General features: G+C 36.4%; 1 protein-coding gene and 1 pseudogene across 1 annotated transcript in view, besides 1 other annotated feature; one reads left to right on the top strand and one right to left on the bottom strand.

Annotated features, from left to right (window-relative positions):
* PCDH15 (protocadherin related 15) overlaps positions 1 to 17,938 on the top strand; it is a 1,825,172-nt gene that overhangs the window by 22,980 nt on the left and 1,784,254 nt on the right. The window lies entirely within an intron of this gene.
* Positions 1,962 to 2,462: an enhancer, noted in NCBI's record as "H3K4me1 hESC enhancer chr10:57362261-57362761 (GRCh37/hg19 assembly coordinates)". NCBI's record gives its function as "activates a minimal SCP1, AML or CMV promoter by ChIP-STARR-seq in primed H9 embryonic stem cells {active_cell/tissue: H9 hESC(primed)}" and the evidence as "EXISTENCE:reporter gene assay evidence [ECO:0000049][PMID:30033119]".
* On the bottom strand, positions 4,235 to 5,921 carry MTRNR2L5 (MT-RNR2 like 5 (pseudogene); annotated as a pseudogene).

Here is a 17,938-nt window from a genome sequence, read left to right as displayed (position 1 = left end):
ACCAGCTCCTGGATTCATTAATTTTTTGAAGGGTTTTTTGTGTCTCTATTTCCTTCAGTTCTGCTCTGATTTTAGTTATTTCTTGCCTTCTGCTAGCTTTTGAATGTGTTTGCTCTTGCTTTTCTAGTTCTTTTAATTGTGATGTTAGGGTGTCAATTTTGGATCTTTCCTGCTTTCTCTTGTGGGCATTTAGTGCTATAAATTTCCCTCTACACACTGCTTTGAATGCGTCCCAGAGATTCTGGTATGTTGTGTCTTTGTTCTCGTTGGTTTCAAAGAACATCTTTATTTCTGCCTTCATTTCGTTATGTACCCAGTAGTCATTCAGGAGCAGTTTGTTCAGTTTCCATGTAGTTGAGCGGTTTTGAGTGAGATTCTTAATCCTGAGTTCTAGTTTGATTGCACTGTGGTCTGAGAGATAGTTTGTTATAATTTCTGTTCTTTTACATTTGCTGAGGAGAGCTTTACTTCCAAGTATGTGGTCAATTTTGGAATAGGTGTGGTGTGGTGCTGAAAAAAATGTATATTCCGTTGATATGGGGTGGAGAGTTCTGTAGCTGTCTATTAGGTCCGCTTGGTGCAGAGCTGAGTTCAATTCCTGGGTATCCTTGTTGACTTTCTGTCTCGTTGATCTGTCTAATGTTGACAGTGGGGTGTTAAAGTCTCCCATTATTAATGTGTGGGAGTCTAAGTCTCTTTGTAGGTCACTCAGGACTTGCTTTATGAATCTGGGTGCTCCTGTATTGGGTGCATATATATTTAGGATAGTTAGCTCTTCTTGTTGAATTGATCCCTTTACCATTATGTAATGGCCTTCTTTGTCTCTTTTGATCTTTGTTGGTTTAAAGTCTGTTTTATCAGAGACTAGGATTGCAACCCCTGCCTTTTTTTGTTTTCCATTTGGTTGGTAGATCTTCCTCCATCCTTTTATTTTGAGCCTATGTGTGTCTCTGCACGTGAGATGGGTTTCCTGAATACAGCACACTGATGGGTCTTGACTCTTTATCCAATTTGCCAGTCTGTGTCTTTTAATTGGAGCATTTAGTCCATTTACATTTAAAGTTAATACTGTTATGTGTGAATTTGATCCTGTCATTATGATGTTAGCTGGTGATTTTGCTCGTTAGTTGATGCAGTTTCTTCCTAGTCTCGATGGTCTTTACATTTTGGCATGATTTTGCAGCGGCTGGTACCAGTTGTTCCTTTCCATGTTTAGCGCTTCCTTCAGGAGCTCTTTTAGGGCAGGCCTGGTGGTGACAAAATCTCTCAGCATTTGCTTGTCTGTAAAGTATTTTATTTCTCCTTCAATTATGAAGCTTAGTTTGGCTGGATATGAAATTCTGGGTTGAAAATTCTTTTCTTTAAGAATGTTGAATATTGGCCCCCACTCTCTTCTGGCTTGTAGGGTTTCTGCCGAGAGATTCACTGTTAGTCTGATGGGCTTCCCTTTGAGGGTAACCTGACCTTTCTCTCTGGCTGCCCTTAACATTTTTTCCTTCATTTCAACTTTGGTGAATCTGACAATTATGTGTCTTGGAGTTGCTCTTCTCCAGGAGTATCTTTGTGGCGTTCTCTGTATTTCCTGAATCTGAACGTTGGCCTGCCTTGCTAGATTGGGGAAGTTCTCCTGGATAATATCCTGCAGAGTGTTTTCCAACTTGGTTCCATTCTCCCCATCACTTTCAGGTACACCAATCAGACGTAGATTTGGTCATCTCACATAGTCCCATATTTCTTGGAGGCTTTGCTCGTTTCTGTTTCTTTTTATTCTTTTTTCTCTAAACTTCCCTTCTCGCTTCATTTCATTCATTTCATCTTCCATTGCTGATACCCTTTCTTCCAGTTGATTGCTTCGGCTCCTGAGGCTTCTGCATTCTTCACGTAGTTCTCGAGCCTTGGTTTTCAGCTCCATCAGCTCCTTTAAGCACTTCTCTGTATTGGTTATTCTAGTTATACATTCTTCTAAATTTTTTTCAAAGTTCTCAACTTCTTTGCCTTTCGTTTGAATTTCCTCCCGTAGCTCAGAGTAATTTGATCGTCTGAAGCCTTCTTCTCTCAGCTCATCAAAGTCATTCTCCATCCAGCTTTGTTCCGTTGCTGGTGAGGAACTGTGTTCCTTTGGAGGTGGAGAGGCACTCTGCTTTTTAGAGTTTCCAGTATTTCTGTTCTGTTTTTTCCCCATCTTTGTGGTTTTATCCACTTTTGGTCTTTGATGATGGTGATGTACAGATGGGTTTTTGGTGTGGGTGTCCTTTCTGTTTGTTAGTTTTCCTTCTAACAGACAGGACCCTCAGCTGCAGGTCTGTTGGAGTACCCTGCTGTGTGAGGTGTCAGTGTGCCCCTGCTGGGGGGTGCCTCCCAGTTAGGCTGCTCGGGGGTCAGCGGTCAGGGACCCACTTGAGGAGGCAGTCTGCCTGTTCTCAGATCTCCAGCTGCGTGCTGGGAGAACCACTGCTCTCTTCAAAGCTGTCAGACAGGGACATTTAAGTCTGCAGAGGTTACTGCTGTCTTTTTGTTTGTCTGTGCCCTGCCCCCAGAGGTGGAGCCTACAGAGGCAGGCAGGCCTCCTTGAGCTGTGGTGGGCTCCACCCAGTTCGAGCTTCCCAGCCGCTTTTTTTACCTAAGCAAGCCTGGGCAATTGTGGGCGCCCCTCCCCCAGCCTCGCTGCCGCCTTGCAGTTTGATGTCAGACTGCTGTGCTAGCAATCAGCGATACTCCGTGGGCGTAGGACCCTCCGAGCCAGGTGCGGGGTATAATCTCGTGGTGTGCTGTTTTTTACGCCGGTTGGAAAAGCGCAGTATTCGGGTGGGAGTGACCTGATTTTCCAGGTGCTGTCTGTCACCCCTTTCCTTGACTAGGAAAGGGAACTCCCTGACCCCTTGCGCCTCCCGAGTGAGGCAACGCCTCGCCCTGCTTTGGCTGGTGCACGGCGCGTGCACCCACTGACCTGCGCCGTGTCTGGCACTCCCTAGTGAGATGAACCTGGTACCTCAGATGGAAATGCAGAAATCACCCGTCTTCTGCGTCGCTCACGCTGGGAGCTGTAGACTGGAGCTGTTCCTATTTGGCCATCTTGGCTCCTCCCCCCGTGTGTGTGTATTTTATAACTTAATTATTCAGTTTGTCATCTGCCTTTCATTCAAGGAAACTCAGAGTTATTTTCTTCTACCTCTCTTATTCTTGTATCTAGTCAGTATATGAATTTTTCAATACTATCTGAAGATTTTTCTTACATGAAATTCTTTTTTGTTCCTGCTACCTTAATTCAACCTTAATAATTTCTCTGGTATGTTTAACAGCTTTCTATTTTTTTACTCAATTTTATTCTTTATATCATTGTCATAATATATCTGTAATTTCTCTATCACCTCTATCTTGCAACCATTATTTCAATCCACCTAATTAACATCACTTACTTGTACTTGCTTATAACATATTGTGTAAAAATCCTAGTCTTGTATATAATTCTGCATGATCTAGTTTAAATCTACTTCTCCTGGCTCCTGTCTTTTACGTTATTCCTGTCTACCTCTCTCCTTCAACAACTAGTGACTTTCCACCAAATTCACACATTTCAATGTGACTTTGATTACCTCGTTTTTATCACATCCTCCTCTAATTATCTTACCATACTTTCTTCCTGTAAGATTCAGTTCAAATGCCAACTCTTACTGAAAACTTTTCCTAACTTCTTAGGATAGAATTCAATATATAAGTGTATGTGTTTCCACATCATTCCATTCACAACTCTCTCACAGCACTTCTGCATTTTATTGTAATTCTCTTTGCCAAATTGATCTCGTAATATATGGAGAGCTCTCTGGAAGGAGGAACTGTGTGTAATTCCTCTGTGAGGTTCTTGTACATGGAGCATTGTAAAAGCTCCTAGATCATTTATTGAATGTGGTTTAGTGAAGAAACAGGAGGGCATGGAAAAGGCAAAAAAAGCTAACTTTTCTCTTTTGCTACCCACAGACCTCAAGTGAGGTGGGAAACTACCATAAATATGGCTGAAAATATCTGTACCACAACTCCCAGACAGTCTGTAGGATGGAGCCAAAAATAAATAAATAAATAAATAAATTAATTTAAAAAATTTTAAAAAAGGAGAAGGGCAATGCAGCTTAGTGGAAAGCATAAGAACCTGAAATTTATAAGACCTGGGCACCGGTTCTACAATAGCACTCAGTAACCAATAGCATATTGTGTAAAAATCCTAGTCTTGTAAGGGCACTTTGTGAAGTGGGCCCGGTTTCTCATATCCTTTCATACTGGGAAAAATGCTAAATAGATAGAAACCAACCTGGATTGCTCTGGTCTGAACTCAGATCACGAAGGACTTTAATCATTGAACAAATGATCCCTTAATAGCGGCTACACCATTTAGGATGTCCCGATCCAACATCAAGGTCGTAAACCCTGTTGTTGATATGGATGCTAGAATAGGATTGCACTCTTAACCCTAGGGTCACTTATCCTGTTGATAGAATTATTGGGTCAATGTGTAATAACTGACTTACACTAGTGCGGTCTTAGTTTAAGTCGTTTCGGAGGTTGAATTATGCTCCAAGGTCACCCCAACCAATTTTTTTTTTTTTTAAGACAGAGTCTCACTCTGTCTCTCAGGCTGGAGTGCAGTGGCACCATCTCCGCTCACTGCAAGCTCTGCTTCCCAGGTTCATGCCATTCTCCTGCCTCATCCTCCTGGGTAGCTGGGACTACAGGCATGTGCCACCACACCCGGCTAATTTTTTGTATTTTTAGTAGATACAGGGTTTTACTATGTTAGCCAGGATGGTCTCGATCTCCTGACCTCGTGATCCACCCACCTCGGCCTCCCAAAGTGCTGGGATTACAGGCGTGAGCCACTGTGCCCGGCCACCCCAACCAAAATTTTTAATGCAGGGATGATACATTGGGGCCTGTTGGCTTGTTTGAATCTATTTGCATTAATGAATTCAAGCTCCACAGGGTCTTCTCCTATTTATTTATACCCGCCTCTTCATAGGTAGGTCAATTTCACTGGTTGAAAGTAAGAGACAGCTAAACCCTGGTGTGGCCATTCATACAAGTCCCTACTTAGGGAACAAGTGATTATGCTACCTTTGCAAGTTCAGGATACCGCAACCCTTAAACATATGTCACTGAGCAGGCAGTGCCTCTAATACTAGCAATGCTAGGGGTGATGTTTTTGGTAGAGAGATGGGGTGAAATGTGCCGAGTTCCTTTTACTTTTTGTAATCTTTCCTTAGAGCATGACTGTATTGGGTTAAAATAAAGATAATAAGATGTCTATTAATCATTTGTTAATATTAGGTTGTTAACTGTCAGTGGATTATTCTGGTCTGATGTAAGCTTATGCAATGGATAATGTCTTAATGTTACTTACACTAACATTATTGCTTCTACTGAATAATAGATTAGTCCAATGTAATATTAGGAGTTTAACAGGGTGATTAGAAATGAAGTTAGTCAGATGTTGAGCTTAAACGCTTTCTTAATTGGTGGCTGCTTTTAGGCCAATTATGGTGGTAAAATCTTTTACTCTCTATAGGACGGTTATTTTCTAGTATCTGAAGATCCGTCCCCCTTTAACAGTTAAACTTACAGGAGGATTAAGTAATTCTGTAGGTTAAGTTTAAAGTTGAACTAAAATTCTACCTTGGACAATCAGCTATCACCAGCCTCCGTAGGCTTGTCACTGCTACTAATGAATCTTCTCACTATTTTGCCACATAAATGAGTGTACTCTTCTAGCTGTTCTGGAGAAGCTCCTCTGATTTTGGGGGACTTGGCTAGAGCTCTCTTTGTGAAGTTTATTCTAGTTAATTCATTATTCAAAAGATGCAAGGATTTGTCTTTGCTTTTTGGTGCTTGATATAGTTCTTTCATTGTTCCCTTACGGTACTATATCTATTGCACCAGAATAAGTAATTTCTATCTCCTATACTTTTGTCGAGGGTAAATGGTTTGATTTAAGTAGTTCTAATAATATTTTTTAGCAAGGCTTGGAGCTGGAGCTGGCTCAAAGCGATCAGGTTGTAATGAAATCTTCCGGGTGTAAGCCGAGTGCTTTGGGTTAAGCTACACTTTGGTTTATCCAGGTGCACTTTCCAGTACACTTACCGTGTTACGATTTATCTCCTCTGTATGTGTGTAAGCAATTATTAATAATAGTGATTTCTAGAGCACTACTTGAAGAGGGTGACGGGCTTGTGTGCTTGCCTTATGGCCTTATTCAATCAAGCACTCTGTTCTTGATTTACTACTAAATCCTCTTCGAACATTTAGATTTCATGAAGGTTATTGTGAGATATTTCTGGATGTAGAAAATGTAGCCCATTTCTTACCATCCCATGGACTACACCTTGACCTAGTGCATACTTGTGTTTACTATATATATATATATATATATATATATATATATATATATATATATATATATATATTAGGGTTTGCTGAAGCTGGTGTTATATAGGCTGAGTGACAAGAGATGGTGAGGTATATCGGGGTTTATCAATTATAGAACCGGCTCCTCTAGAAGGCTATAAAGCACCGCCAAGTCCTTTGAGTTTTAAGCTGCTGCATGTAGTACTCTGGCGAACAGTCTTGTTAATATAACTATTTGTGTAAGCATAGTGGGGTTTCTAATCCCAGTTTGTGCCTTAGCTGTTGTGTCCTCAGGACATTAAAGTCCCTTTCGTAGTATATTTTATTTCAGCTGGAGATTTTTACGATTTAGATAGAGCTTAACTTTGTTGACTGAAGACCTTAAACACTCTTTATGCCGAGTTTTATTAGCTTGGGTTAATCGTATGGCCGCGGTGGCTGGCACAAAATTTACCAACCCTAAATATTGTATAGGTTAGTCATACTTTCACTTATGAATTAAAATTTATCACTGCTGTTTCCCGTAGGGGTGTGGTCGAGCAAAGTGTTTTGAGCTGCGTTTATGCGTGCTTGATACCTCCTTCTTTTGAACCAGGTGATCTGGAGGGCATTCTCACTGGGGCGGGGATGCTTGTATGTGTAATTTTACTGAGAATTCATAAAAAGGCCAGGACCAAACTTCTATGTTTATGGGGTTTTGCGGACCCATCTAGGCATTTTCAGTGCCTTGCTTTAAATAATTAAGCTACATTAACTGGATGAAAAACATTTGAGTGGTATTTTGAAATACTAGGGGGATGTCAGGGTAGAATCTTGTTGGGTATAAATCTGAAGTGGTCATTTGCAGTCCTGGAAGTTTAGGGCCTTTAAAAAAGTTGAATTAGCAGAGGTTTTGGCTAAGGTGACATTTGTAGTTGAAGTTATATTTGATTTAGGACTATAATATCTGGGATACACACTTTTCAGAGAGGGATGCTTGAAGTATTATATAAGTATTAAGACAGAAATTTAGTTAACATATAAATAGGAGATTTTATTTGGTTGGAGAATATTGGGATTTTTTAGAAAATTACGTTAATCGAGGGGCTAGTGTTGGAGTGTTCATGGTTAAATTATGATTTTTAGGGTTCTGACTAGGTTCAATTTAAGTATCTTGTTTCTGGGGGTCGGCAAGGGTACCTCTTACCTAATTTAACAATAAAGTCAGAGATGGAGGGAGGGTGGATTTTCGGATTTAATCAGAAGTAGTCCTTTAAATTATGCGTGAACGTATCTGCGTGAACGTACGTGTGCGTGAACGTACGTATGTGCGTGAACGTACTTGTGTGCGTGAACGTGTATTGATTGTTATGCCCTTCAAGCATGAATGAATTAGCACCTTATGGTTGGGTATGTTGACTCAGAATATTCAAGATAAGTCCAGCCACAATCGATTCCGCAGGGATCAGGCTCCCGCCATGGTAAGTGGCAGCATCTCGAAAATTAAAAAATACGAAATGCATGACAATGCTCCCGTGACTAGTTATTAGGGTGATAGTCACTAGTACATTGAGATATAAGGTTTGCAAATATTTTCTCCCAGTTTGTAGGTTGTCTCTCCACCCTCCACCCTCCTGTTTCCTTTGCTCTGCACAAGCTTTATAGTTTTAAGTAATCCTGTTTATCTATTTTTGCCTTTATTGCCTCTGTTTTTGCTGTACAAACTAAATCCTCAAAAACCTGTATTATCATAGTTAAAAGATTTATTTTTATCATATTCCAAATAGTTTAAAATGCTTTTGTTTGTTTGTTTGACATAATGGCATCAGATATAACATGGCATAATGTCATACTATTACTCTTTCAATTAAAAATCAAAATGTAAAAATTATAATTTTTAAATATGGCAAAAACGTACATTAAAATACATTAAATGGTAAATAACAAACTGCTGTTAATCCCACATATAATCATGCCTTACTTTTTTAATACTTTGAATATTATAAAGTGATTTTCTATCTTTTATTATATTTTATAATAACCTATGGGATAGCTGGAGTAGATATTATTTTCTCTGCCTTGCATATGCCAAAAACGAGAGAGGGAGAGAAGTGAAGTGACTTTCCCTGTATTACAAAGACACAATGGTGCAGAGTTGAAACTTTACTCATTATTTGAAATACTTTACAATTTTTCTAAAATACAGTGAGATCTAGGGACTGAGTGTTATACTCAGCCCTGTTTGAAAATTTCTCAGGATATTGGTTCATCCTTTATTAAAACGAGCAAAGAAAAAAAAGTAGGATCAAATTAAGAAAAGCAGAATGTTTTGGTAGGATTAGGATCTCAAAATAATTATCTCAAAGCCAATAAAGTGTTACATTATTTTTCTTGCTTTATTTTTAATTTTATTATTTTTGCTGTGTCTATATGGTGGTGTAATAACCTGAGAAAGACGGTTCTAATCACACATGTACTAATCACAACCATGCAACATAATTTTAGAGTAAGATTTAACCAGGACGTAAATTTAAAAGTTCTTAAAAGTATTCAACTTCTGTGTCTATACTTAAGACTCCATCTCTAGGTGTCTGTTGATTATGCAAGTAGAATCAACAATAATTAATTTATCAACCTAATCTTTAAGCAGTGCAAACATTATTATTAGACGTTCTTAAATGGGCACTATAATATGTATCTTGACTGAGCTTACTTATTTCATAGAAGAATGGTATTTCTAAAATTATTTTAGAGATTTTTGATATTTAATCTCAAATGTTTAATATATTTTCCAAAATTATCAAATAAGGCTGAGCACTAGCATACTCTAATATTTACAGGAAAAATGTAAACAAAAACACTTGAATTTCTAGGTTCTTTAATAATCTTAACGCCAGGATGAATTCTCTAAGTCAGAAAAAATTGCCGTGACTTGGTACTAAGATCAGTATCAATTCAACCATTATTTCTTTAAAAAAATAACTTAAATAAAAGTTGCATTTACCATTTTGTGCAGTGGTTCTTAATCCTGGTTATTCCTCCATAGTTTTTAAAAATACTGATGTCTGGGTCCTTGGCCCAGTGATTCAGCATAAATTAGTCTGACATGTGGCTTTGTATCAGGAGCTTAAACAGTTTTCCAGTTTCTATTAATGTGCAGCTGAATTTGAGAACCACTGCTTTAGTCTTTTGAAATGAGGCCAGGTGTGCATATAAGGCCTTACTGTGTAAAGTTTTAAATTTGGGGGACATTTTGGTGGTATAAAGCTGGTTAATACAGATGAAGTTTAAAAGAAATAGACTCTCACCTACCAGATATACTAATACTTTGCAGAAATCAAGATCATTTTGAGATAATTAAAAAGAAGAGAAAAATAAACTTCCTAAATGTTGAATTTATAATTACATGTTCTACCTTTATCATACTATACCATTATGATTGATGGTTAGAATAAAATTTCAAAGAATCTGAAACTTATCGTAGCATACAAAATTATATTTGTATAGTTTTCATATTCAACATATTTCAGTGAATTTCAATGATTAAAAATTAATTATCCATGGGTGATAAATATGATTATTCTATTGCCAAGACTGTTACATTAAGTAAGGCAGCCAGTTCCCAACAGATCTAGAAATCAATGCTGCAATCTGAAGAAGGCTTTTAAAGTCAATATTCTTAGGTACATATGTAATTTTGTTACAGTCTCCATATTATTGCAGTTCAGTTCTACAGAAGACCTTTCTTGTCACATCACCAGTCCAGTGACACTGGTAGAGTGTATCAGGGGAAATTTGAATTGTCTTCTTAAATTTCCAAACCAAATAAGAGAGTGAATTGATTTATATTTCAACATCGAGTATGAAACACATTAGCAATTATGATCCATAGTAAAAATCCTGTTTTTATACAGTATAATTTACTGAGACTCACTTAAAATTCACATAACATTTGATTGAATTGGACAGTGTTTACAATTGTAATTTTTGCAACATTGGAAACGCCAAATGTGTTTGATTAAAATCAACTTCCTGCAGCCACACCTGTATAATATTTATGTCTCTAAATTACTATTTGTGGTAATTAGCAGTTTTTCCATTGCAATTAACCAACTTAAACTTCAAACATTGTCTAGACAGCCTAACTTTTTACTTTTTTCTTAGTTGAAATGTTTTAATTATATTTTACTTTGTGATTTTAGTTTTCCTTTCATCTTCTTGAAGTTTAACCTCAAAAAAATTTTGAGTTCTTATTTATTTGCATCAAACAACTCTAAAATGTAATACAAATTATTATCACTCTGTCTACATGGAGAAAACATTGTTAACACATCTGTGAATGACTTAATCATTATAACAATTAAGACATTTACACACACACACACATTTCTTGTAAAAAGAATGGTTAAAACTACCTGTACACTGGAAACATATTTTCACATAAATTTGCTCATTATTATTTGTACTTATATTGTGCAAATTATGTCAGTAGCTAGAATGACATGGATTTGACAAGAATAGAGAAAAAGTTGGTTTCATATCCCAGACTCTTAAAATACACTTTTCAGTTTAGGACACAAGCACTCTAAAGATATGTATGTAGTCCTCATGTCTGACATCTAATTCCTATGAGTTTCCTTCAATTAATACTAAATACATGTATAGAAATTGCCATAAACTGAGCTGTATGATGGTAATAATCCCCAAATGACAATTCAATCATCCAGATCTTTGGGTTGTCCTAATTCCATTATATGAGGTGGATCTAATGGTAATTAGATCCCTAGATATGAGGGATCCCTAGAAAAGTATTTTCTTAATCTTAGATAATAGTTTTCAATGCTTCGGTGAAAATTGTTTATGGAAGTCTTCTATTTTAATCAGTCTTTGAAAATGGCTCTTTCAATGGTTGATAAGATAAGTCATCACACAATACTTCTATACTGTTAAAAAAAAAGCTAAAACAGTAATTAATCTTAATATATTTTAGGTATTCAGTACCTCTTATTTCCAGATGTATACAATAAATTCCTTTTATATCTTAGAGCTAAAACCAGAGAAAAAATTGTCTCTCTCCATAAACCATGCACTCTCTTTTGTCAGATAAAGTGTAATTCGTCTTTATCTTCTCGGATATATTATGTGACTTTTAATTTTTATTGAAAAAATTGAACTTACTGATTTTTTCCTTGATACATAAATTATACATGTTCAGTGTCTATAGCATACATAAACAACAGTAAAATTTGTTAGAAACACCTATAATCTCAGCAAACAGAAAATTTAATTTTAGTGAAAATATTACCTAACAACATTTTCGTTTTCGGAAGTTTCAAAACTGTCTTGTTAGCATACATTTTGGAAAAGAAATTTTATTCTATCTTCTTTAATAACATACCAGTTTTTCTTTTATACGTATTTTGAACATATATTTGGGTCACTAAATGCTATTTTAAAAGCATGGATTTCATTTGTTAGTATTCCATAACTAGCAATTATAAAGTTGGACATTTAGATTTATTTCAGTTTTCAATATTCACTTCTAAAGAAAGGTTACAATGAATATTTCTGTAGTTAAATCTAACCACACATAGAAGATTATTTCTTTAGAATACACTTTAGAAGTAGTATTACGTTAAGGCATTTGACTTACACTTTTAAAATCTCTTTAGAAAATGTTCTGTTATTATAATGGTCTAGTTTTGTATGCCTTGTATTATAATTTGTATCAAATATATTTTTATATGCATGGTATATATAAGAAATGCAAATCTAATTAGATAAAGCAACAAATATATTACATAATTAAATAACAGTTTGACGTAGTTTTAAGTGTATTTTTGAAAAAATACTCTGCTAAATTCCTATCAAGTCAGCACCTAAACTAATTCTTGAAAAAGATCCAGAAAACAAAGGTCTCAAATTTCTAGATATTTTAGGTGTGCATTCAGGTTTCCAAAAGATAACTGATGTGGTAACTTGAGAAACATGGAATAAAGATTTGGGCACCCCACAGGGAAGCCACACAAGAATAGTCTAGAACCTCTCAGTTAGTAATAAAGGGACCCTGGTATCATTCCTAGTCCTATAGGGGAGAGGTAAATAATTTACTAAAATCCATAGACAGAGAAGCTTGTGAGGACAGAGCTGCCTGGCTGGATCTTTGAGTTTTGGTCAAGGAAATAGTTAATGCCAGCATTCCTAGAAGCAGGAGGGAGCCAGGAGTGTAACTACTTACCAAACCCTTCTCTCTTCCTCCAGTTCTTGTTCTTCTCTCTTCCTCCAGTCACTTGCTCCTGCTTTTTATTGGCTGAACCCCACTGACATCAGGCAGTAAGGGAGCCCTGGAAATAATACATTGTATATTTCAGCCTCCTGGGTGCACAGAGCAAGTTTGAGAAGAATAGAGATTGGACTTGCCAGGGCAAATGAAAAATACCGGCGCAATAAGAAATCTCTAAAGATATCTTCCTCCTTTTATTTTTTTCTCACGACTGACTGCATCTAGACAAGGGAATTCATTTTTCTACTAGAAATACGTTATGTATATTCATTTATGATTTTCACTCTAAGAGGTATTCTTTCAGTGAGATCTTGAAAATCCTTATCACTTTAATTTACATGTATAGAACTCAATGTCTATGAAAACAAGTGTAGCATGTATACATATATGTCATGTATATATAACGTATGTGTATTACACATCTAATACAGTATATCTTAGTATTTAATAATTTACGACTCTTCAAATAAATCAACATATAAACTAGAAGTATACATGCATTGCTTTTTAAAATTTTTTTGTTATGTATTATGTGACTGTTTACAATGGAAAAGGACACACAGTGCAGTTTGACAGCTGTGTGTCAAATGAAAGCTAAACATCCTGCTCCTAGCCAGGTTTTCCTGCCTATTCCTCCTTACTCCTCCCCTGATACTCAGACATCTTCAGGTGAGATTTTCACAGAAAAAGAAAGCAAAAGTTTGTCAAATAGGATATTCCTTTAAATCTTGAATTTTATTTTAATTAATTATGTTTAATTATTGACCCCTTGCTTTTTTCTTTACTGAAAAATGTGGATGATGACCACTTACCTTTTTTTTAAATACTGAAAAAGTTCTACCTATCATAACTTTATTTATTTATGTATTTATTTATGAGAGAGAGTCTCACTCCGTTACCCAGGCTGGAGTGCAGTGGCCTGATTTCCACTCACTGAAGCCTCCATCTCCTGGGCTCAAGCAAGCCTCCTACCTCAGCCTCCAGAGTAACTTAGGCTATCGGTGCACACCATTATGCTTGGCTAATTTTTTTGTAGTTTTGGTAGAGATGGGGTATTACTATGTTGTACAGGCTGTTCTCAAACTTCTGGACTCAGGAGCTGGGATGACAGGTGTGAGCCACCACACCAGGACTGCCTATCATAACCTTAAATATTTTATGAAGCAATGTATGTAGAGTGCCAAACAAGTAAATTGCTAAAATGAAAACTATCTCGGTGTTTTTGATAGAAGATAAATGTTATTATATAGTTGCTAGATAAGTTAAGGCAATGGAACCTCTTTGTGAGATTTTGTTTTATTTATTTTTTGATAATTGGGTTAGATTATATTAAATTTTAATGATAGGTACAAACTGAGCATTAAGAACACGTTTTTGGCTAACATTAACATTGATAATTCTCTTATTTCTTAGGAAATGAGTACATTAAACTTGCTTACTTCTATGTATAACAAAACCTCTTACTAGGAGTGCAGGAACTGTGTATATGTAGTGATTGTAGTTTTTAAAGAAAAAAGAAATAATTGGCATTGATGATATACCATATGACCAGATGCTGTATAATAAAGTGACTTACAATCTTAATTTGTCAGACAACACTAGAGAGTTTCAATTAAGTTTGAGGTTTTGGCCCACCTCTGAATTCCTTTGTAATATTTTATAAAGTAGCAAAAACTACAGACAAATATTTCTGCCATTAAGCAATCAGCATCCATCTGTTTTTGTCTTTTTACTACCAAGACAAGTTAACATGTGGCAGAAGCATATAAGTCTACAAAATTGAGATGAACTGTTAAGAACAGTATCATGATATTATTATTTTCTTTTTTTAAATTTTATTTTATTACTATTATACTTTAAGTTTTAGGGTGCATGTGAACAACATGCAGGTTAGTTACATATGTATACATGTGCCATGCTGGTGTGCTGCACCCATTAACTCGCCATTTAGCATTAGGTATATCTCCTAATGCTATCCCTCCCCCCTCCCCCACCCCACAACAGTCCCCAGAGTGTGATGTTCCCCTTCCTGTGTCCATGTGTTCTCATTGTTCAATTCCCACCTATGAGTGAGAACATGCGGTGTTTGGTTTTTTGTCCTTGTGATAGTTTACTGAGAATGATGATTTCCAGTTTCATCCATGTCCCTATAAAGGACATGAACTCATCCTTTTTTATGGCTGCATAGTATTCCATGGTGTATATGTGCCACATTTTCTTAATCCAGTCTATCATTGTTGGACATTTGGGTTGGTTCCAAGTCTTTGCTATTGTGAATAGTGCCACAATAAACATACGTGTGCATGTGTCTTTATAGCAGCATGATTTATAGTCCTTTGGGTATATACCCCGTAATGGGATGGCTGGGTCAAATGGTATTTCTAGTTCTAGATCCCTGAGGAATCGCCACACTGACTTCCACAATGGTTGAACTAGTTTACAGTCCCACCAACAGTGTAAAAGTGTTCCTATTTCCCCACATCCTCTCCAGCACCTGTTGTTTCCTGACTTTTTAATGATTGCCATTCTAACTGGTGTGAGATGGTATCTCATTGTGGTTTTGATTTGCATTTCTCTGATGGCCAGTGATGATGAGCATTTTTTCATGTGTTTTTTGGCTGCATAAATGTCTTCTTTTGAGAAGTGTCTGTTCATATCCTTCGCCCATTTTTTGATGGGGTTGTTTGTTTTTTCTTGTAAATTTGTTTGAGTTCATTGTAGATTCTGGATATTAGCCCTTTGTCAGATGAGTAGGTTGCGAAAATTTTCTCCCATTGTGTAGGTTGCCTGTTCACTCTGATGGTAGTTTCTTTTGCTGTGCAGAAGCTCTTTAGTTTAATTAGATCCCATTTGTCAATTTTGGCTTTTGTTGCCATTGCTTTTGGTGTTTTAGACATGAAGATCAATGGAACAGAACAGAGCCCTCAGAAATAACGCCGTATATCTATAACTACTGATCTTTGACAAACCTGAGAAAAACAAGCAATGGGGAAAGGATTCCCTATTTAATAAATGGTGCTGGGAAAACTGGCTAGCCATATGTAGAAAGTTGAAACTGGATCCCTTCCTTACACCTTATACAAAAATTAATTCAAGGTGGATTAAAGACTTAAACGTTAGACCTAAAACCATAAAAACCCTAGAAGAAAACCTAGGCATTACCATTCAGGACATAGGCATGAGATTTTGTAACTTTAATCCTTTCTTTCTTTTTTTTTTTTTTTTTTTTGACACGGAATTTTGCTCTTGCTGCCCAGGCTGAAGTGCATTGGTGGGATCTTGGCTCACTGCAACCTCCACCTCCTGGGTTCAAGCAATTCTCCTGCCTCAGCCTCCCGAGTAGCTGGGATTACAGGCATGTGGCACCACGCCAGGCTAATTTTGTATTTTTGGTAGAGATGGAGTTTCTCCATGTTGGTCAGGCTGGTCTCAAACTCCCAACCTCGGGTGATCCACCCACCTCGGCCTCCAAAAGTGCTAGGATTACAGGTGTGAGGTTCCTTGCCTTGCCTATTCCTTTATTTCGAACAGTTTTTCATAGTGTTGCTAGAGCAAAATTTTATATTCACCTTTTTGACTTCATTTTCTTCAAAATGTCCCAGTTTTTCTTAGTTTTACAATTTTTTTTTTCAGAAATGATAATAGAGCAAAGGTTTGGTAATACTAGAGGTTTTATTCTTTTTTCTCTTCTTTGATCTGTCTCAAATATTCTCACATGGCACATGATCATTATGACTCCCATCTTAATAAAATTATGAATTGACATTAAATTGTTATTGTCATACCAGAACTAAGACACACCATCTCATGGTCTTCTTGCATTTGTGCGAGCTTTCTTTATGTGTGTGGGGTTTCTTTTAATTGTTTCATTTTTGTTTTTATACAAACTACGATCCATATTGTATTTTGGCAAGCCATCTATAATACTTGGTAGCTTTGAATTAATGTCAGCTTTGAACAGTAAAAATTTTCAGAAGCAGGCAACTTGCAAACCTCACAAAGAAGTTTGTGGGTTTGGTACCATTCAGATAAGTAAAAGAGTCTTAGCTGCCAGCAACTTATTTTCTGGAATTCCTTATTGCTGTCTTTGCCATAAATATCTACCAGATAGGCAAAAAAGGTAGCCCCAGGTTTGCATTTGCTAATAAGGTGACAGAGGCCTATGACAAGTCAAGACCAAATAATGTAACACCTCCTACATCAAAGTTTTAAGCGCTTTAAAATAGAGGATCCAAGTTGCTTTGTCCATTAGAAAAGGTCAGCCCAGATTAATCCACCTTCCCACTCACACACTAGGTTATACCTGGCCATATGCTGTCGATTCAGCACTTGTACAAGTGTCAAAACCAAAGCGGTTCATTTGCTCTGCTTTCTTTCTTTTTCCCTCTTATTCTTTTTTTGATATGACTGACATTATTCTGGTTCAATTCAACAAACCTGTACTGAGCACCCACTGTTCAGATACTCTTTCAGACCCAGGCCTCAAGGAACTTGAAAGCTAACAAACGACCTCTTAACAAGAAATTCTTGAGGAAAACACTTAAAATAGTGTAAAAAATTTCAACTGTCAAGAAAGCATCTTTTCAAAGTAGATGGATCTAAATTATCTTTATATCAAACCACCATTGTAATATGTATTCTTTAAAGTTATTATATCTGAGAAGTCTCCTTTTTCTTTTAATCTTCACAAATGTTTTTTCTTTTGTTCACTCTAGAAGATTTTGATGTATTGGTTTTGAATGACCAGGATTATTTCAGAAGGATTAAACTAATAAAATATTATAGGCAACAAGAGCAGTGAGGTGGTGAGAGGCATGTAAAACTGTGAGACCATAGCATTTAATGGAAACACTCATAGAAGGGAGCTAAAAATATATATTTTTCCGTACCAGTGCCTACTTTTCTTACTAATAATACTGAACACAGCAAATTTGAACCCATTTAAATAATTAAAAAGCCTTATATATGAATATTGTCAACATTAATGTTGATTTTAAATAGAATGTAAACATAATTGAGAAGAATTTGCTTGACAAATCATACAAACTCCATCTTTACTATATTGAACATATTTATGTTGAAGTATTGTGATTATAAAAATGTTTATCTTGAATATATAATTTTCTTCTCTTGTATAACATGTATAATGTATGTAATACCATTCATATTAGTATGTTTCTTCCCTGTTAACAATACAAAAAAGGTACATATATGATTAAGTCTTTATCTTTGAGAGAACATTCAGAAAGCTTAAAAACAAATTTTAAGTGAAACACTAGCAAAACT

The sequence above is a fragment of the Homo sapiens genome, chromosome 10 (assembly GCF_000001405.40).
Source record: "Homo sapiens chromosome 10, GRCh38.p14 Primary Assembly".
Classification (NCBI taxonomy): Eukaryota; Metazoa; Chordata; class Mammalia; order Primates; family Hominidae; genus Homo; species Homo sapiens.
This window is presented reverse-complemented; position numbering and strand designations above follow the sequence as displayed.